The sequence below is a fragment of the Homo sapiens genome, chromosome 3 (genome assembly GCF_000001405.40).
Source record: "Homo sapiens chromosome 3, GRCh38.p14 Primary Assembly".
In the NCBI taxonomy this organism is placed as follows: domain Eukaryota; kingdom Metazoa; phylum Chordata; class Mammalia; order Primates; family Hominidae; genus Homo; species Homo sapiens.
This window is the reverse complement of record NC_000003.12, coordinates 18,251,398-18,270,949: the sequence shown is the minus strand read 5'-3', so window position 1 is coordinate 18,270,949 and position 19,552 is coordinate 18,251,398. Positions and strand designations below refer to the sequence as shown.

Sequence of the window (19,552 nt, the reverse complement as noted above, 5' to 3'; positions counted from 1 at the left end):
TTTTCATGATCTGTTCTCAAATAGGTTCCATTATAGCAGATCTGGTCTCCCCTTCCTAGATTGCAAATGAGTTTCTGATCCATCATTACACGATGTCTTCCAGTTCATTCTGTCACTCTGAGATTTCCTTAGATAGTCCCAAAACATTGAGTCACAAACTTGTAGATACTCTTACAGTTGGCTAATCAAATGTACTGTGAGTGGAACTTATTCATTGAATTATTAATAGAAAATCTTAGTCTGTTGCTCCTATGAAGATCACTAACAGGACATAGCTAAAAATCAACCAATTCACAGATTGATGTAACAGGTGCTCATATTGGAATGAACTGCTCATCAGAGTTCTCATCTTATTCTCTCTCTCTCTCCATTGTCTGTACCCCACAGAAGGCCTGAGCTGTAAAATGGAAATGATCGTAAGACAAGTTCTCTCCACCATGGCCTCCAAGCACATATACCACTTCATTAATCAGCTGGTATTCCCAAAACCTCCAGGTTGTAAAAGCAGTCTATTTATGAAATATCTGGCTACGGCGTATAATAAACAATGCCAGAGTGAACTGAAAACAGACTAATTTAATAAGCAATTCCTTTCCCCTACACTGTTTAAATTTACATAATCAACTGGCTATAATATTTAGCATACTTTTAATGTTTCTCATTTGTTTACACTACAATTCTGTGCTTCAGACTTCTCCATTCACCAAAATATTGATTGGTCTACTAAGGGTACAGAACAGCAGATATTCCACTGGTAATCATTACGTGAATATGGAGGAAGTGAGAAGTGGAGCTACTGTATTTTTCTTGTTAATTACAAACCTAATATTCTATTAAAATGTATGAGATGACAAAATCTCAACAAACTCTTTAAAGCTATTACTAGCAGATAAAGTATTCTACCAAAGTATTAATATTAGCATCATTAAAATAGTTTTATCAAGTGTGCGTTTATCTCCAGATTGGAAACAATAGCAGCCTGAAGGTAAGAAATGCCCTTGAGTACTGTGGTATGAAAACCAACAGCAGCTTTAGAGTCACATAAAATCTCCTTGTGGCTTCACAACTAAAGAAAAAAAAATCTTGAAGCCACAGTTATAAGATGTAATAGAGTAAATGAGTCTATTTTTCATCACCTTGGGCTCTGAGAAGAAAACATGGCAGAGTTATATCGATAAGGGAAGAGCTCAGATATTAAAATACATTAACTTTACTTTAATTGATTTAAACAGATCCAGAGCTTTCTTAATGCACATGATGTTATTTCTGCATTAGTGGACAAAATAGATCTGCGTTAGATTGCAAAGCTCCATCTCTGTATCTCTGTCTGGTATGGAGAGAAAAACCTCTCCATTTCTTAATCTCTCTTAAAAAAACAAAACAACACAGGAAACCATACATATTTATTAGCTCTAGTCAAATAATTTCTTTCTTTATCTTCTCCTTGAAATGTCTTCTGGCAACATCAATACAGTGTTCTCCTATAGCTCAGAAAGCTATAATCAGGGAACAATAACAACAGATAGCCAAAGTTTCTTCTATACACCATAAGAATAAAACTTTAATTAGACCCCTCCAAATCTCTAACTGAAATAGTTTATCTCATCAGTTTCTTCCTCTCTGTTATTCTCTTTGTTTCTGTAGCACAGTTTGAAAAATGTCAGATGAATCACTGAAGGGTAGAACCAACTAGAAAGCCTCACCAGACATGACATCCATTCTCGCATTCACAGATGAGGAAACTGAAGCTCAAAGAAGGAAAGTGACATCACAGAACTTGTTTATGACAGAGTCCACTCTAAACTCTTGATCTCCTTTGTGTTATTTGAAGCATTTGTATGGGATCCCAGAGAAAAAGTGAAAAGTATAAGTATAGGCTTCCATTTCAACTCACTCCTTTTAAATTCAGAAAATTTTAATTTTTGGTCAAAAATCTGTAACAATCCCTTATTCTGATATGAGAAGAATGTGAGAAATGTGTAGATGTTTCTCTAGCAGTCAAATTAAATGATGAAGCTTCCTCTTTGTTTTTTGGTTCATAGAAAGTATTTTCTTCTAGAGTCTCTGCAGATTGGAGTACTGCTTTTATTCGTGGGTTTACTGAAGCACCAGTCAGGGCCATAAAAAAAGTTAGAAACCTATGTTGATTCTCAGAAAGGTAAAGTCCAAGGTGATGTAGAAATATGCTGCCACCACCCCCACTTTCAACATCCTACTGCACATACAAGGATCAGCAAATGAAAGAATAATCCATGTTAGCACACTGCGGAAGTCAAAACTCTGTATTTCTTTAATAATCCTAAAACAAATGCTATTGAATGGACTGATTTAAGTGCTTTGTTTATTTTATGGAAATATTTCCAAGGAAAGGCCTTCTATGTAATGCCATGAAAAGGCTTTTATAAAAGTATATGAATTATATGCTGAAGTTGAACCTATCATTGAGCAAGTACTTTCTGGATAAAATACCAATATACTATCACATAGATCTACTAATTTAGGCTAGTCCTGATCCTAGATTTCCAGCTGGGATCCGGAATTATTTAGCAATTATTTAGCTGAGCATAAATATTTAGAGACAGTTTTTGCTAACAAATCTTGCCTCTAGGAGCCAGGCCCATAACAATATTCTTGGCACTAGCTTTCCACACATAAATCAAGGATCTAACTTCACACCTTCTCTATTTCATTTTTACTATTTTGTGTGGTACCATCACTCCTTTTTAAATTTCTGGTCTCTTTTTGCAGTATCCTGTAGAACAGAAATCTGACTGACCTCATGGGGCCTGTAATGAGAGTCTGAAAAGTTACTCAAGAGAAACAGGTTGAGTTCTTTTTGAATATTCCATTTTGGATTTGTAAAATTTATAAGAGTTTGGGATTTTCCAGGCCTGGGATCTCACTTTTGTAAAATGTGCTCCTGTTAAGCATTCTCTCTGTTTTGTGTCTGTGCACACATGTGCACAAGTGTGTGTCCCTGATCCATGACATGGAAGGCTATGAAAAGCACTAGGATATTTCCCAACCTGCAGGAGATTCCCCTGCTTTGAATAACTCATGAACTGTTAATATGAAATCAAGTGTTCAAAGCAAGATGTGCCCTTTGGTGGAGTGGGGTAGGTTTTCCTATATCGTGTGGTTTTTGAGCACTATGACTCCTATTAACTTTTATCCTTTGAAAATGTAATTCCTCTTTGGAAATAAACAATTTGCTGATTTTCCAACTCTCTGCTGAAATTTCATTGGGAGCATCATTGACAGTAGCACTCCAGCTGAATTCTCTATATATGGTAAATAAATCATGTGAACAACAGTACCCAATTTCACATTAATTGTTTGGAAATCTCCACAACATCAAACATTTTGTTAAAAGTCTAGAAAGAAATAAGTGTGGCTCTTTTGTTGTTGTCATCGTTGTTTTGCTTCGGAGTGATTTGTTCTAAATACAGCTTAACAGGCAGATGACTGGTTTGTGACTAGAGTATCTTTTCTGAGATGAAAAAGCAATACAAATGCTTCCCAAAAGGATGCCAACCAGGCTCAGAGCAACACAGGGACTATGGAATGGGTGCACCTGGGGAAATCCTTATCACAAATTGGATTGACAGGGAGGACTCAGTGCCTTCCCCAGCACACGTGCCTCTGAAAAGCTGAAAGGGAATCACAATGCTTTAAGAACGAGATCTGGGAATTGCCTAAATATGAGAGTTTCAAATTGCTCAGGCAGTAAGAGAATAAAAACATGAAATGCAAATATTGTAGGGATAAAGGGGGAGAAGATGTGGCACAAAACTCATAATCATTGAGAAATGGGAGCAGAATCTGAAGCCATACTCTAGGATTGGTTTTAGAGAGATCGCTTGTTCCTTATGAAGGGCATCCTTCACTTGCTTTCATTCCTCCTTTTCACAGCTGACTTCTGCACACCATGCCTGAACAGAAAGAGAAAATGAGGATTCCTTCAGAATTCCGTTGAGCATGAAAGAGGAACATCTATTTAGACCTTTGTTGGTCAAGATCTTTCTCACTTGTGAAAAAAAATACCAGACGACAGAAATAGGTGAAAACCAAGCTATAGTTGTCTGCAAGAGTTGCTAAGGGTTAGAAATTAAGGGCTTTGATTTTTTTAACGTGATGCCCTCTTGGCTCTTCTAGAAAGTTAAGATGCCAATGCCTCTATTACTACAAGGGATTAAATAGCATAAAGCAAGACAATGAAAGTTATTCCACAAAACTCACCCAGAAATGTGGAAATGTTGTCATATTTCTATATGGTTCCTTAAACTCTACTTATATTTCCATTTAGAGTCTGCCTTGCAGGTAAGACCATGGCAAATTTTGCTTACATTTTTATTTTTATAAGATGGAATCCAAAATCCCTGTTGTAACGGGTTTCTATCTAATCAGTCATGCTCCCCAAAATAAAATAAATCACTTATTTTATTCTGATGAGCCCACTCATGTGAGTTATGAGCATGGGCATTGGCATTAAGGTACTGAGTTCCAAAGCTATATGAATCCTTAGACATTATTTCACATGAAGACTTCTGGATATAAGAACACCTGACCCCACTGAGGTAAAGGAACTGACTGAAAATCACAAAAGCAATTTTAAGCTGAAGGGCAGAAAGAGCAGCCTAGATTCTCCCAACATTACTTTTTTCACTCCATGCTCTCGGGATTGAGGCAGACTTGAGATTTTGCATAGCTCAGTATCAATGGAAGCTTAAATGTTGGGGTATTAGGATGAAAGAAATCAATCCTGTTGACTCTTCTCAATAGAAAATAAGAGGAGCTTGTTCATAAAATGAACAATGTGAGATCATGGAGTTTCCCCCAAAGTATTAGCTCCTATATTTTCTCTTCCTCCTCACTCTATAGAGCATATTAAATAGTCTTAGGAGGGGGCAAAATGTTCCTTTGACAGAGCAGTGGTTGATATACTTATGAGCACAAGACAGCGGGAGGCAGGAGAATGGAATCAGGAGGTTAAACTCTGCCCAGGGCTTTTAGGAAGCATAGGCTGGCTCATTACCCTGTATTGAGACCTAGACTGTTGCTTTCTAGAATGGGAACAATTCTAACCCACTGTATTGCTGACTTGACTTCCTTTCTTTATAGTAGTGTTTCCTATAAATACCACAGAACTCTTTCCAAGGGGCTCCTTCTGCACACAATGTATACAGTGCCTTCTGGGCTATCATGCTACACAGCAAAAAAGGAATATGCTATTCTTATTAAGAGTGAGGACTGCTACCCATTATACCTGAGTTGGCTCTTGAGTAAGCTGCTGAAGTTTCCTAAACCTCAGTTGCCTAATATGTAACATGGAGCTACTGGTATCTCCAAAGGTGATTAGGAATATTGAATAAGACAGCGTGTGTAGCATAATCTGAAAAATGCCTGTTTTATAATAAACTTGCAATAATGCTTGCTATTGGTATTATTATTATTAAAAGACGCTCAATAATATTTCTGGAATCATTTCATGACCAAACAGGGAACAACTGAAAGTGTTTTTCCTTAAAAGCTTAACCTATGTTTCCACCCGTGGTTCCGTAAACATTTGTATATCCCCTAAGGTTCTAATGTTGTACATGCAGCTGGCCCTTAAGTGAGATGGGCTCCTACCCTGGAATTCTGTCTTTTTACTGGAAGCTAAAAATGTAAAGGCTCAGGTATGCTAGTGATCCCTGGAAGAGGAAAGCAAAAACAGTAATACTAATTAGTAGCTACCAGAGCTGTTCAGCATGGCAATAAGCTGTGAATTTATGGTTTTGTTAAGAGTCAGGATACATTTGAAATCTTTTATATAATATTAGATATGAAAATACACACCATCTGGACCTCTTGCTGGTAGCCTTGAAATGTCTACATCTCACAGGAATCAAACCCATTTTACCTGCTAGGGAATAAAACACCTGTTTCACATATTACTTCACACTGGGTGATGAACATTTCCACTATCTCCAGCCAGAAAGAAAAAAATGAAACTGTGGCTTCGCATTGTTTAGTAGATTTTAAAAAGCTAGCAGGGCTGGGGGCTGTTTTACTGTCTTGTTGGAAGAAGGCTCTGCAAATTGCCCCTGTAACAACCCCTGATAATTTGGGGGAGTTCTCTGTAGCCCTGGTTACTATCAATAAAATGCATTTTCCTCTCATTATAAATCTGCTTATGAAAACACTTAGTGAGATGAGCCAACTGCATCTTGGCTTCTGGTTGCATCTTGTAATGGATGGTCCCAAAGCCGATAGAGGACTGTAATTCACTGGAGGAACTCTGCTGATGACATAAAATAGCTGAACAGTTTATGAATAGTCCTAGAATCTTGAAAGAGAATGAGGCTTTGCATTCTTTCCTAGGACATCTGTTGCTATTCTATAGATATCCTTCTGCAAACTTGGGGAAGTGGGGGCGGTGGCAGGGAAGCTTCCTTAGCATGTCCTTCCTTTTCACTTGCCATAAATCCTTTTGTTCTTCAGCTGAAACTAAACTGCCCTGGTAGGAAATCAGGTTGCTTTTTTTTCTTCAACATAATCACACTACCATTATCTCTCTTGAAAAATGTCACAATAATCCCTTAATATTTTGAAATATCTAATCAATGTTAAACTTTCCAGTTGTCTCATGATTTTTAAAGTTTATTTGTTTGAGTCAGGATCCAAATAAGATCTGTACATTGCTATTTCCTTGCAATGTATTGCCTGCCATTTATTCCTTGCATAACTATTTGTCTTATAAAGGTTCCCATAGTCTGGATTTTGCTGATTCCATCCCTGTGGTGTCATTTAACATGTTCTTGTGTCCTCTGTATTTTTGTATATTAAGATAAGACATAGTATATACAGTATATACTGTATGTTAAACACTTGATTGAATTCAGGTTAATTTCTTTGGCAAGAGAGTTTGATTGGCAGTATTTCTTCTCCTACCAGGAGGCATGTATTATCTGGCAGCTTGTGTTCTTGTCACATCAGCAGTCATTGATGATCAATATTGAGATTCATTAGTTCATTAATTGAAAAAGCATTGCTATTTTAGTCCTATCACACCTTCCCTGTGTATTAATTGTAATAAGAGGAAACTTTTTCCTGATCCACTCTTGGTTACTCAGTGAAGCATTTCATATAGGAAAGAGAGACCAAATACATTATTTTTCTCTTTCTATATCAATTTCAAAATAGTGATGTGGTTTTCTAGCCTGCCCAAAATTACCTATTTTCTGAAGTATCATTATAAACTCATAGATTTAAACATATTTGAAATGTTCCAATCAATTGAAGTTTTATACATTTTTATGTTTTTTCTTGAAGAGGAGATTTTTTGACGCTCTAGTAAATTTTAGTAACTTCCTTACCATCTGCTACAAGATGTTCCAGACTCATTTTGTACATATGCTGCCTCAAACCTGGAGTCGACAGTTTGTTAAAGGTGTCCAGGCTCCTCTTAGCGGGAAATCGTATTTGTATACTATCATCTGGACACTAGGATGAATCATTGTTACTGGGTTGGTCAATGTTTCTAGACGTTTTCAGTGGAAAGAGCTCAATGATATATACCCATACTATTAAGTAGTGGTAGTGATGCTTTCAATTCTAATTCAAGACCAAAAAACTCTTCAATCTCAAATGTGTATCTCCTCTTTCCCTTGCCAAGAATCCCAGTTCTTAACAATGACAACAACAATGATAGAATTGGAATATCCCATAATTATTTGGCTGCTTTATCACATGGTATACACAAAGCAAGGTCAGAATAGCAATACCTACCCTACCAATGATAATATGATTACTGAAAATAGTTTATGATTTTTTAAATTTCTTTCTGTACGTAAGATACATCACATTAGACATGTCAAAGTACAGAGTTTTAATAGCAAATGGAATTCTCTCTGTTGTTATGCCACCAACTGTAAATGCATTACGTCCATTTGTTTCTTTTTATTTCATTTCTCTCTCTCTCTCTCTTTGAGACGGGGTTGCAGTCTGTCACCTAGGCTGGAATGCAGTGGCGCCATCTCAGCTCGATGAAAACTCTGCCTCCCGGGTTCAAGCCATCCTTCCACCTCAGCCTCCCGAGTAGCTGGAACTAAAGGCACACACCACCATGCCTAACTATTTTTTTTTTTATTTTGTGTAGACATGGGGGGTTTACCATGTTGCACAGGCTGGTCTCAAACTCCTGAGCTCAAGCAATCCACGTGACTCAGCCTCCCAAAGTGCTGGGATTATAGGCATGAGCCACCGCACATGGCCTCATCTTATTTCTCTTTCTAAAAGTTACTTTTTAAATTTTGTTTTTATTTTGTAATTGTGTAAAATATTTACATGATGTGAAAATCAAATCTACAAATAAGGCAAATTAAATAAAGTGTAGCATCTATTCCTATCCCCTAGTGCTGCCCTCTTCCCATAAACCACAGGTAATTTTTTAAATTACCTCCTCCAGAGATTATTATATAGTATTTCAAAAACCAAATTATGGCTTAACCATTCAGGAGCTTGTTTCTTAAATATAAGTAGGTATATTTTATATCTGTCTCTATATAGATATATCTTTTTAGATAAACAGTAGCTCGCTATATAAATTTTTATCCACTTTGCTTTTTTGACTTCAGGTACAACTTGAAAATCTCATAGTGGCATACAAAGGAATTTCTTGTTTCTTTTAATTGCATAATACCCCATTCTATGGCTATACTACAGTTTATTCAATCAGTCTTCTATTGTTAACTGTTTGGGTAGATTTTGGACCTTTGTTATTAAAAATAGTTCTGTAATGAGTATCTTAGGGCACATATTTTTTCATAATTTTATCAGGTATCTAGCTGAACTAGATACCTAGAAATGGGATCACTGGGTCAAAGGGTAAATGCCCAGTTTTTGCCAAATTCCCTTCCCGTAGATATCATACTATTTTGCACTCCCAGAGACAACATAAGAGAGTAAGGCCCTGTTTTCATGGCCAACATCTTCCTTGCTGGGTAGAGTAGCAATTGGTATTTTTACCTTACTCCCTTTATTTCAGGAACAAGATAAAAGGACAGTCATTTCTTTAAGTGACGTTTGTGGAAAACAATATTTCAATATAGCAAAAATTGAAAGAGATTTATAATGATCTCTTGCTCTACTCCAGTTAGTCAAGAAGTAGGAGTATGAAACTTACACAAAAAAGCTATCAACTTATGAAAATGGTCACGTTCCTTATTCCTTTAATATTTGTTGACTAAGTTATTTCTTCCTTTTAATTTTTTCTTCATGTGATTTTAAATGGTTTGGCCTCCTCTGTGTCCTGCTAATCATCAGAATGAGTTAGCGTGTCTTCTTATCTATTTTATTTTATTTTATTATTTTATTTTAATTTAATTTTATTTTATTTTATTTTATTTTATTTTATTATTTTTTTGAGACAAGAGTCTCGCTCTGTCGCCCATGCTGGAGTGCAGTGGTGTGATCTCGGCTCACTGCAAGCTCCGCCTCCCAGGTTCAGGCCATTCCGCTGCCTCAGCCTCCCGAGTAGCTGGAACTATAGGCGGCCGCCACAACGCCCGGCTAATTTTTTGTATTTTTAGTAGAGACGGGGTTTCACCGTGTTAGCCAGGATGGTTTCTATCTCCTGACCTCGAGATCCGCCTGCCTCGGCCTCCCAAAGTGCTGGGATTACAGGCGTGAGCCACCGCGCCCAGCCTGTTTATCTATTTTAAAACATTCTGGGTTGAAAAAATTGATGCACCAGATTTACATCCTCAACTTACTACCCTCTATGGCAGTGTTACTCGAAGTGCACTCCATAGGCAATGCCAGTCCACAAATTGTTCGCTACCACAGTGAGATAAGCACACAAATTAGAATAGGTATAGCAAAACTCTTAATTTGACATCATGTCGACACCAAGAGCATGATCAGCAAACTTTACAAAGGTATTGATCTATGATGGAAGAGATATGATTTAAAAATGGCCATTTGCCACAGATAGTTTAAGTAGCACTGCTCTGTGGTCCTGTGTTTTCTTTCATCATTATCCTGAGATCCTGAGCCAATAGTTCTGCCTCTTATGTGTTTGCAGAATCTCCTTTCATTTGACTTAATCTTCGAATACGATTTTCTCCATTGGTTTGGTTCAGGGCTTTCCAAAGTAGGCCGTGCTGTAGAGTTATACAGATGTCATTTATGTCTTCCCTGCGGAACTTCTCAGGGACTTTGTATGCTAATGTGTATTGCCAGTCTCTCTGAGATAATACCCCAGAGGTAGTTGACTATGGAAGTCTTGTTTATAAGTGTTTTATAGAATCAGGTTTGCAGAGGAGACACAGGGAAATTCTGGTATAGGCTCATAATTTTCTTTCTACAAAAATGGCATCAAAATTGGATAGTTCTATCAAATCATCGGGCACGAAATAAAGGCAGGGCAAAAACAAACAAGCAAAAACCATCCCAAGACTTTAGATCACCAGATATGTCTTAACCTCTAAAATTAACCTTTATTCCATGCCTTCAAAATATCTGATTATTTATTTGATGCTGAAAGATTAGTTAGAAACAAGGTCCTGTAAATTTTTTAATAGCTTGCTGTAATGTTTAATAATTTCTATTTTCTGGAAGTTCTCCTATGTGACTGCTATAAATCTTATTGGCTTTATTACAATCGAAATTATCTTCTCTGTGTTTCTAAAGTACTTCAAGTTTCCTTTTCCATTTTTAATAATTCCAAGGCTAGAACTCTATACATTCAATCTTTGTCTCCCAAGAGCAGAATATTTCTATAGTAGCTTTCAATCCATGTGATAGCGATACAAGGGGCCTATGTTTTGGAAGCAAACACACCTGGGCACAAGAGTAGTGTAAGATGTCTAAGGAGACACTGACTACTTCAAGCAGATTTTTGCCTTGATGAGTTGAAATTCTGTGATTGACCCTTATTCCCCATCTCTTTATTTCTAATTGTGTTCAGTTATGTCCTATTCTCAAAATGAATTCCAGAGGCCATTTCCCTCTTCTCTCAGTGATTTTTTTCAGTTAATATTTATTATTATTCTTCCTCATTACCAAAGATATATTCATTGCAGAAACTTAAGAAAATATAGAAAAGTAAATATTTAAAAACAAAAATAATCCCAAATAACATCACCTGACATAAAAATCATTCTGGCATCCCTCCATCTGATGCTTTCCCCAAGAATACATATTATCTGTATATGCAATAGGTATTCAATCTGTACAACATTGTATATCTATTACATATATGTATCAACATATGATACATATATTAGATGACAAGTATAATAAAAAATAGGTTTGTATATTGCAAATATCAGTTCTCATTACTATATTTTATTTTATGAATCATTTTTAGTGACTGCATAGCTCTTCATTTCATGGATTTGCCATACTTTCTCTACATTAACTGCTGTTGTGTAACACTCAGCATTATGTTCTAAGCAAAAGGTAACACTTAATATTATGTTCTATGATTCTCCATTTTGTTGTATATAGTGGGGGTAGATTTATTTTTATTTTCACTGTTGTATATTGTGTTAATATACCAACATTTATTTATGTAATCTCCTCTCAATGGGCTTATAGGATGTTTCAATATTTTTGCTATTATTTTCTGGTGTATATTCAAGAATGTCTTTATTATTCTGGGTCAAATGATATGTGCATATTCAATTTTATAAGACAATGACAAATTGTTTTCCCAAGTGGTTATATCAATTTATACTTCTATTAAAAGAATATGAGAATTCCATTTCATCCAGATTCTGACCAATATTTGGTTTTACTAGACATTTTAATTTTTCATTCTGAGATATTTATAATGCTCATCAGCCTATTAAGGACTCTGAGAAGTTCTACAAAAGAAAGTTGTTTTATTTCATTTCATTCCAAATCTCTCAAATTCTTTGACGATGGAAGCCTTGTTTTGTAATTTACCCATGAAACTTATGCATCAGAGCCCACTTTTGGGAGCCCTGACCTGAACTGATGATGAAAACTAGATGAGGGTATGAAATTCGGTGAGCAGAAACTTCAAGCCCACAGTTGGAAAACTACTGGTTCAGTACAATCGTAGCCAAAGAAACAGGGTCATAGAATAATGCTTCTCAAAGGTACAAATTTATGGTTAAGAATCAGTACTTACTACCAAATCATTCACGAATCGATAATTTTATGAAAGTCCACTGATGACATGTTTGAATGTAACCACTGCAGAAGTTTCTAAAAGCTGAGTTTCAGTTTCTGTACTCATCTCATTGTGAAACGGTGACACGCGTTCATGGACCGGCATCATCCATGGACCACACCTTAAGCCAACACTAACATAAAGGATAGTACTTGAAGATGAAAATCTAATACATCATTTTATTTAATGGAGACTATTTAAAAATAAATAAATAAATAAGGGTATGTCCCTTTCCTTGGTGATAGTGACTAGTCAATGCCTGAGTAAAAAGGCCAGGCTTGGGCATGGTGGCAGGCGCCTGTAATCCCAGCTACTCGGGAGGCTGAGGCAGGAGAATCGCTTGAACCCGGGAGGCAGAGCTTGCAGTGAGCCAAGATGGCGCCACTGCACTCCATTCTGGGCGACAGAGCGAGACTCCGTCATTAAAAAAAAAAAAAAGGCTCGGCTTTCTTGCCTCCATTAGGGATAACGTTGACGAGTGATGCCATCTCCAGGGCTCCCTGTGGGATGGGCTGAGGCTTCTATTACAAATAACTTGAAGTTCACACGTTCCAAAACAACTTTCCCTCCACCCAATTATGTTTGCTTCACTTCCTTATAGATCTTCATCTTGTCCATGAGAACATTTCCTAATAATTCTTCTGCAAGTAAAGCTCAATCTCAGTGTCTGTTTCCTGATTACCTCACCTAAGACACCATATTTTTATATGCTTATGTGTCAGTTGTGTTTCGTTTTATAGGGTATTTCTGTTTATATTTTTCTCTATTTTTTAATTTATTGGGTTGTTTGATTTTTTCTTGTTGATTTGTGAAAGTTACTAATATGTTCTTTTTTAATTTTGTGGCAACTGTCTTTTTTCATTTTGTGTCTTGTCTTTTCGTTATCTTTTTGGTGACTCTTGATGTGCAGATAATCTTATTTTTATGGCAGTTAAATTTGTCAATCTTTTCTTACACAGTTAATTATTTTTGTATTTTATTTAGGAAAGACTTCCATACTCTGAGATCAGAAATACCTTCTCCATATTTACTTTAAAATGTTTTCTATTTTGTCTTTCACATAAATCTTTAATTTATAGGGAATTATATTTACAAGGACTGTTAAGTAAAGATTTTATTTACTTCTACAAGGATCTCATATCTATCCATATTGCTAAACTCTTATTTCTAATAAATATTTGGTAATTTTGGAAAATTTTTTTATATTAAAAACCACTTCCTCTTTGGAAAATGACAATTTTGTTTCTTTCTCTCTCTCATATTTTTTAAACCTTTTTTCTTGTTTTATTCCAATGGCTGGGAATTCAAATTCAGTCTTGAATATAAGTAGTAGGTAGTGGGCATTTTTTCTTGCTCCTGCCTTCAGAGGATCATTCTCACCATTAAGAAAGGTATTTGCTTTACCTTTTGGTGATAATTTTTACAGGCTAAAATACATGTTTATTTTTAAGGGAATTAAAAAAAATCATTATCAAATGCCTAAATTCATCAGATGTCTATTTTGCCTATATCATGAAGATCATATGTATTTTTATTTAGTCTTCTTTAAAATATTTTCTTTTTTTATTTTTTAGAGATGGGGTCTTGCTATATTGCCCAGGCTGGTCTCAAACTCTTGAGCTGGTGTGATCCTCCCACCTTGGCCTCCCAAAGTGTTAGGATTATAGGCCAGAGCCACAGCACCTGGACTTATTTAATCTTTTAATAGTATAACTGATATTTATAAATTTTTCTAACACACTGTCCTTGTAGAAGTGTGATAAATCCAACTTAGTCATGACATATTATCTCTTTTATTTTCTTCTTGAATAATTTTGTCCATAAGTTGTTTTAAAAGTTTGTATCTATGTTCATATATAATGGTGACTTCTCTTATACTCTCCATTGTCTGGCTTTAATATTAAAGTTTTATAACATTCATAAATTGAATTAGAAAATTTTTTTGTTTCCTATATTGTAGAAAGTTTTATGAAAGTTTAGAATGATTTGGGTTTTTTTGAAAGTTTTGTAGAACTCACTTAAAAAGCCATCTGGGCCAGGCGCGGTGGCTCACGCCTGTAATCCCAGCACTTTTGGGAGGCCGAGGCAGGCAGATCACGAGGTCAGGAGATCGAGACCATCCTGGCTAACATGGTGAAACCCCGTCTCTACTAAAAATACAAAAAATTAGCCAGGCGTGGTGGTGGGCGCCTGTAGTCCCAGCTACTCGGGAGGGTGAGGCAGCAGAATGGCCTGAACCTGGGAGGCAGAGCTTGCAGTGAGCTGAGATCACACCACTGCACTCCAGCCTGGGCGACAGAGCGAGACTCCATCTCAAAAAAAAAAAAAAAAAAAAAAAAAAAAAAAAAAAAAGCCATCTGGAACTGGTGTATTCTTTGTAGAAGGTTTTAAGCTACTGATTAATTTTTTTTAAACCTTATAGAGTTATGCAAGCTTTGCAATTCTTGAGAAAGTTTAGTGTCTTTATTTATTCTTCTTTTCAATGGATCAACTTTTGGCTTTCTGGTCCTTCTCTATTGTGTTCTTTTCTATTTTTTAATTTTTCTACTTTCTTTCTTATCTTGTTGAAGTTTTTTCTAACTTCTTAAGTTGGACATCTTCATTTCCAGCCTTGCTTTTTTTTTTTTTTTTAACTTAAACATTTAATGGTACAGGTTTTGCTCTAGGTACCACTGTGGCAAAATTCTGTTTTGATCTTAATATTTTCATTAATGTTTAGTTCTTGTGTATTGTTATATTCCATACAAGTTCATCTTTGGCCACTTATTTGAATTTATGTCATTTTGTTTCCAAATATATGGTTTTGTCTTTTGTTATTGACTTCTAATTTAATTGTATTTACAAAGAATGTGGTCTTTATAATAATGATTCTTTGAAATTAGTTTAAAAATGTATTTTGTAACCCAGTACATAGTGCTTCCATGTTTATTTGAAAAGAATGTGTTTTCTTTTTTGTAATATTCCATAAGTGTCCTGTATCTCAAGTTTCTTTTAAAGTTTCTTCTTTCAAGTTTTGCCCTTGAAATAGTCTTGGTTTATTAAATTTTTGGCCATTTGGAAGAGATATATTGAAATGTCTCACTATGATCATGGATATGTAATTTTCTCCCTGATTTCTACCAACTATTGATTTACTTATTTTGAGATATTTTAATGATGCATAGACATTTAGATTTTTATGTTTTTCTGGCAAATTTCCCCTTTTAGTCTAAGATTAGATTTCTTCCCTAACACAGCCCATATTCAATTATCATAGTGTCCTTTGTGGTAAGCAGAATTCCACAAATGTGCCCCAAGATTTCCTGTCCCCTTGCTAGACCCACACTACATAATCCCTGGGACTATGATTTTGATGGCTTTTTCCCCATGGTTATGTTGTGGCACTGTTGACTTTAAGAAAGGGAGATGACCAGGGTGGGCATAAAAGGCTCACACGAGCCTTTACACAGAGCGTTTTTGCTGGCTAGGGGCAGAAACAGAAACCAGAGAGATTTGACGCATGAAGAAAGATTGGATGCAAGAGAGGTCTCTGTTGCTGAGATGGCAAGGATCCAGTGTGAAGACCTGATAGTAGCCCTAACAGCTGAAAACAGTCCCTGATTAACAGCTAGCAAGACAATGGAGACCTCAATCATATAGCAACAAGGAAATATTTTCAGCCAACAACCAGAAGGTGTTCAAAGCAAATCTCTCCCTCCTTAAGCCTCCAGGTAAGAATGCAGCCTGCCAACATTTTGATACCAACTTTATGAGATCCTAAGCACGGAGTCTAGCCATGTTGTGCCAGTCTTCTGACCCATGTTTACTGTGAGATAATAAATTGGTGTTTTTTAAGCCCAAGTTTGTGATAATTTCTTACAGAGCAATAGAAAACGTATGTAACCGCCTTACCCTTAAGAGTGCTTTTTGTTGGGGCAGAGCACGGTGGCTCATGCCTGTAATCCCAGTACTTTGGGAGGCCAAGGCAGGTGGATCATAAGGTCAGGAGTTAGAGACCAACCTGGCCAGCATGGTGAAACTCTGTCTCTACTAAAAATATAAAAAATTAGCCGGGCAGGTGGCACGCACCTATAGTCCCAGCTACTCGGGAGGCTGAGGCAGGAGAATTGCTTGAATCCTGCAGGCGGAGGTTGCAGTGAGCTGAGATCACGCCACTGCAATCCAGCCTGGTTGACAGAGCGAGACTCATATCTCAATTAAAAAAAAAAAAAAAAGAAAAAAAAAGAATGCTTTTTGTTTTAACATCTATTTTGTTTGTTATGATTACAGTTATAACAGTTCCCTTTTGTTCATATTTTGGATGTTTTCCATCCCTCTGTTTTTAGGTTTTCCATATTATTATTTTTTAGACATTGTCTTATAAGCAGCATATATCAAACTGCAAAAATCCAAACTGAAAATCTCTGTGTTTTCATTTAAGAATTTTGTCTAAATGCATTTAGTGCAATTACTAATGTGTTTAAATTTGGATCTACCATCTTTTTTTCTGTGCTTTTTTCTTCTATGCTTTCTTCTACTTCCTTGCTTTTAAAAAATTGGTATTTTCTTTTTTATTGAATGTTTCCCTTTTAACAGTTTGGAAGTTATACATTCTAACTCTATTTTAGTGTTTACACTTAAATTTTACTATGCATATTCAATAAAAATATGGGCAATTTTGTGAATTTAGATGTCATTCTTGTCCCTGGAACCATCAAAATGTTCCTACATTATTTAAATTTACTAAACATGTAACTAAAGTGAGAAGTTGCCCAGTGATTCTTTGCCTTCTCGCTTCACCTCCTCTGAAAAAAGGGAGGGAAGATGTCTTCCTCTTCTTCCCACCTTTGTCCTGTCCGTGCTGATATCATCTATATACAACAGCGTTCAGATTCCAGAACTCCTGCAACTTTTGACAAGTTACCTGTTTTGAGTTTTACTTTGCTGATCTATAAAGTGGGGATAGCAAAACCAAGCTTATTGGAGTTTTTGAGATAAATAAATTAGATAATATATGTATAGCAGGTAAATGCCTAACGTGCAATAAAATCATTATTTTTACTCATTAAATATATTGATTTTACTTTTTATATCATAACTTCCTTTGATTAGCAACTTCTCTCTTCTCAAGGATATGCATATCTTTATGTATGTCTGTGTTCACATTATATCCCATTTTGTTTCACTGAATTAGACTCCCATATCAGACACAGTAGTCTATTAAAGGCCTTTTCATATAGGGTTTGGAGTGTAAAGACTATCAAGTGAAAAGTAGTCCCTAGGGAGCACCATTCTGTAGGTTCTCATAATACTTTTGAATATAGAATGAGTGAGCAGCAATAATTATAACCCTAAAAAATATTATCTCCTTAACAGCCAAGAAGGACAGGGCAACTTTAGTAAGTTTATGTAAATTGAAAACTGTATAATTTTTAACCTATGTATTTGGACTTCAGTAAAAGCCAAGTGGAGAGCATTGCTCCAAATAGGCTTTCAAAAAGAGTTCATGAGATTTTAGTAGCTTTCTAAATTTGACGATGGATGCTTATACCTTTTAATTTAGTGGATTTGAAATGCTTGGCTTCAAGTAGCATGTTGTAAGAAGGTTATTTCTGGACCTTCTCCATGTGTAATGTATAAAATTAGCATCCTTCTTTGGCAATTGAACCTCTTCGTTTCAAAGCTAACCCAACTCATCAGATTGTTATAAATGAAGACTAATTAACTATTCTTCTGCTTTAAGTTTAAATCCTTTATTGGCACAGATGTCTAGAGGTCAAGTTTGTGTGGCATGAGTCAAACAAATGATCAGCAGTATTACAATTACACTGAAGCACAAATAATTGAAAAAAAACCAGAATTACCTCTTTGTGATAATATTAAAGTCAAAATGTAATTGTAAGTGTTGCTCTTCAACGATTCAACCCAAAAGTGAAAAAAAGGAAGTCTACTTAAAGCATATCTCTCGGACCTTCACATTTCTTTCTTTCCTGAAGTTGAGCAGCTGCAATGGAAACTGCCAACACGTCTGCCTTGCACATGAACAATGAAAAATATACCCATGATTGCCAAGTTAGCTAGAACCCACGATGGTAGAGAGGCCAATGTTGTTAAAAAGGATGCAGATCTTCACTAAATAACTGTATAAAAAGACATGTCCTAGATCACTACTGCCAAGGGCAGGGAGGAGAGTCCTTTAAAGACTAAAAGACACACAGAAGACCATGTTGTCCTCATTTTTCAAGGAACTGGGAACATTACAAGCAGGGAAATGTTAAATGTGGGTATATAACAAGGTTTCACTGTGTTTCTACTTTCAAAAAGTTTCAACAAAATGAGAAAATTGAATCATTCTGCAGCAAGACCTCATGAAAAACAATGTATGGGGCATTTGAGGAAGAGAATGCACACAGACACTATGCTTATTTTGCCTTTAGAAATCTATATAGTGTGGATGCCCTCTCTTCAATGCACTTTGAATTAATAATCATTTTAAATTATTCTTCCCAAGAGTTTTGTGAGGCAAAACCCTTTTACGGATAAGGAAATAAAGTTAAGGAAGATTTAAGAAATAATAATCATAATACTTCTATTATTCATCAGGTATTGATGATACACCAGTCACTGAACTAGTGAATTAGAAAACATTATCTCGCTAAATACAGACAACAATCACAGGGATAGGTCACATGATTTCAATATTAGAAGTTAGAAATGGAAACTCAGAGAACTATAATAATTTCTCCCCAAGGACAAGTTGTGAAGGAATGGCAGAGTCAGAATTTGAATCCAAGCTTGTTGGATTCCAAAGTCTTGTCCTCTTTTCTAAAATCCTCTAATGAAAAGTCTCTCCCAGTCCACTATATTGTTGAGTCAAGGAAACTCCAAGGCTGACAAGTGTCCTATAATAAACAGCCCTGCGGGTTCCACAGCAATAGTAGAGCTATCACTCAGATGTACCCACTGAGCCAAAAGGGCTACACTGATCCCAGAAACTAGTAGCTCTGTAATGAGCTACCATCATTGCCGATGGACTGGTATTAAAACAAAAACTGGGATAGCCCCAACAGATGCTTTCCTTGCGGCTGCTAGCACAGGTACCACAGCCCATGGTGTGGCCCACCATAGTGAGCTTTAGCCTCCTGCCTTGGTTGTGGTAGCTGCTGCTGATATATATTTGTACCCAGGCTGCCATGTCCTTTTCAAGATGCAAGACAGGACAATACCGAGCTTAAAACATTTGCCAGTAAATGTTTGCTAGGGATCTTTATATTCATTCACCTCGCTCTTTCTCCAGGATGCAAGCCTGCCCGCAGCACGCTGGTTAAACGTAAGCTTCAGGGACTATGCTCCTTGAACCACTCAACTCAGCACCAGCTCTTCCTACTC

The 19,552-nt window shown here is 36.2% G+C and overlaps 1 long non-coding RNA gene across 1 annotated transcript in view; it reads right to left on the bottom strand.

Annotated features, from left to right (window-relative positions):
• Window positions 1–2,027: 2,027 nt before the first annotated feature.
• The window catches only part of BALR6 (B-cell acute lymphoblastic leukemia associated long RNA 6), a 306,371-nt gene continuing 288,846 nt past the window's right edge, over window positions 2,028–19,552 (bottom strand). The window contains exon 5 of the long non-coding RNA NR_161333.1: window positions 2,028–3,932. This is a non-coding gene — a long non-coding RNA (B-cell acute lymphoblastic leukemia associated long RNA 6). The remainder of the gene's footprint in view (window positions 3,933–19,552) is intronic.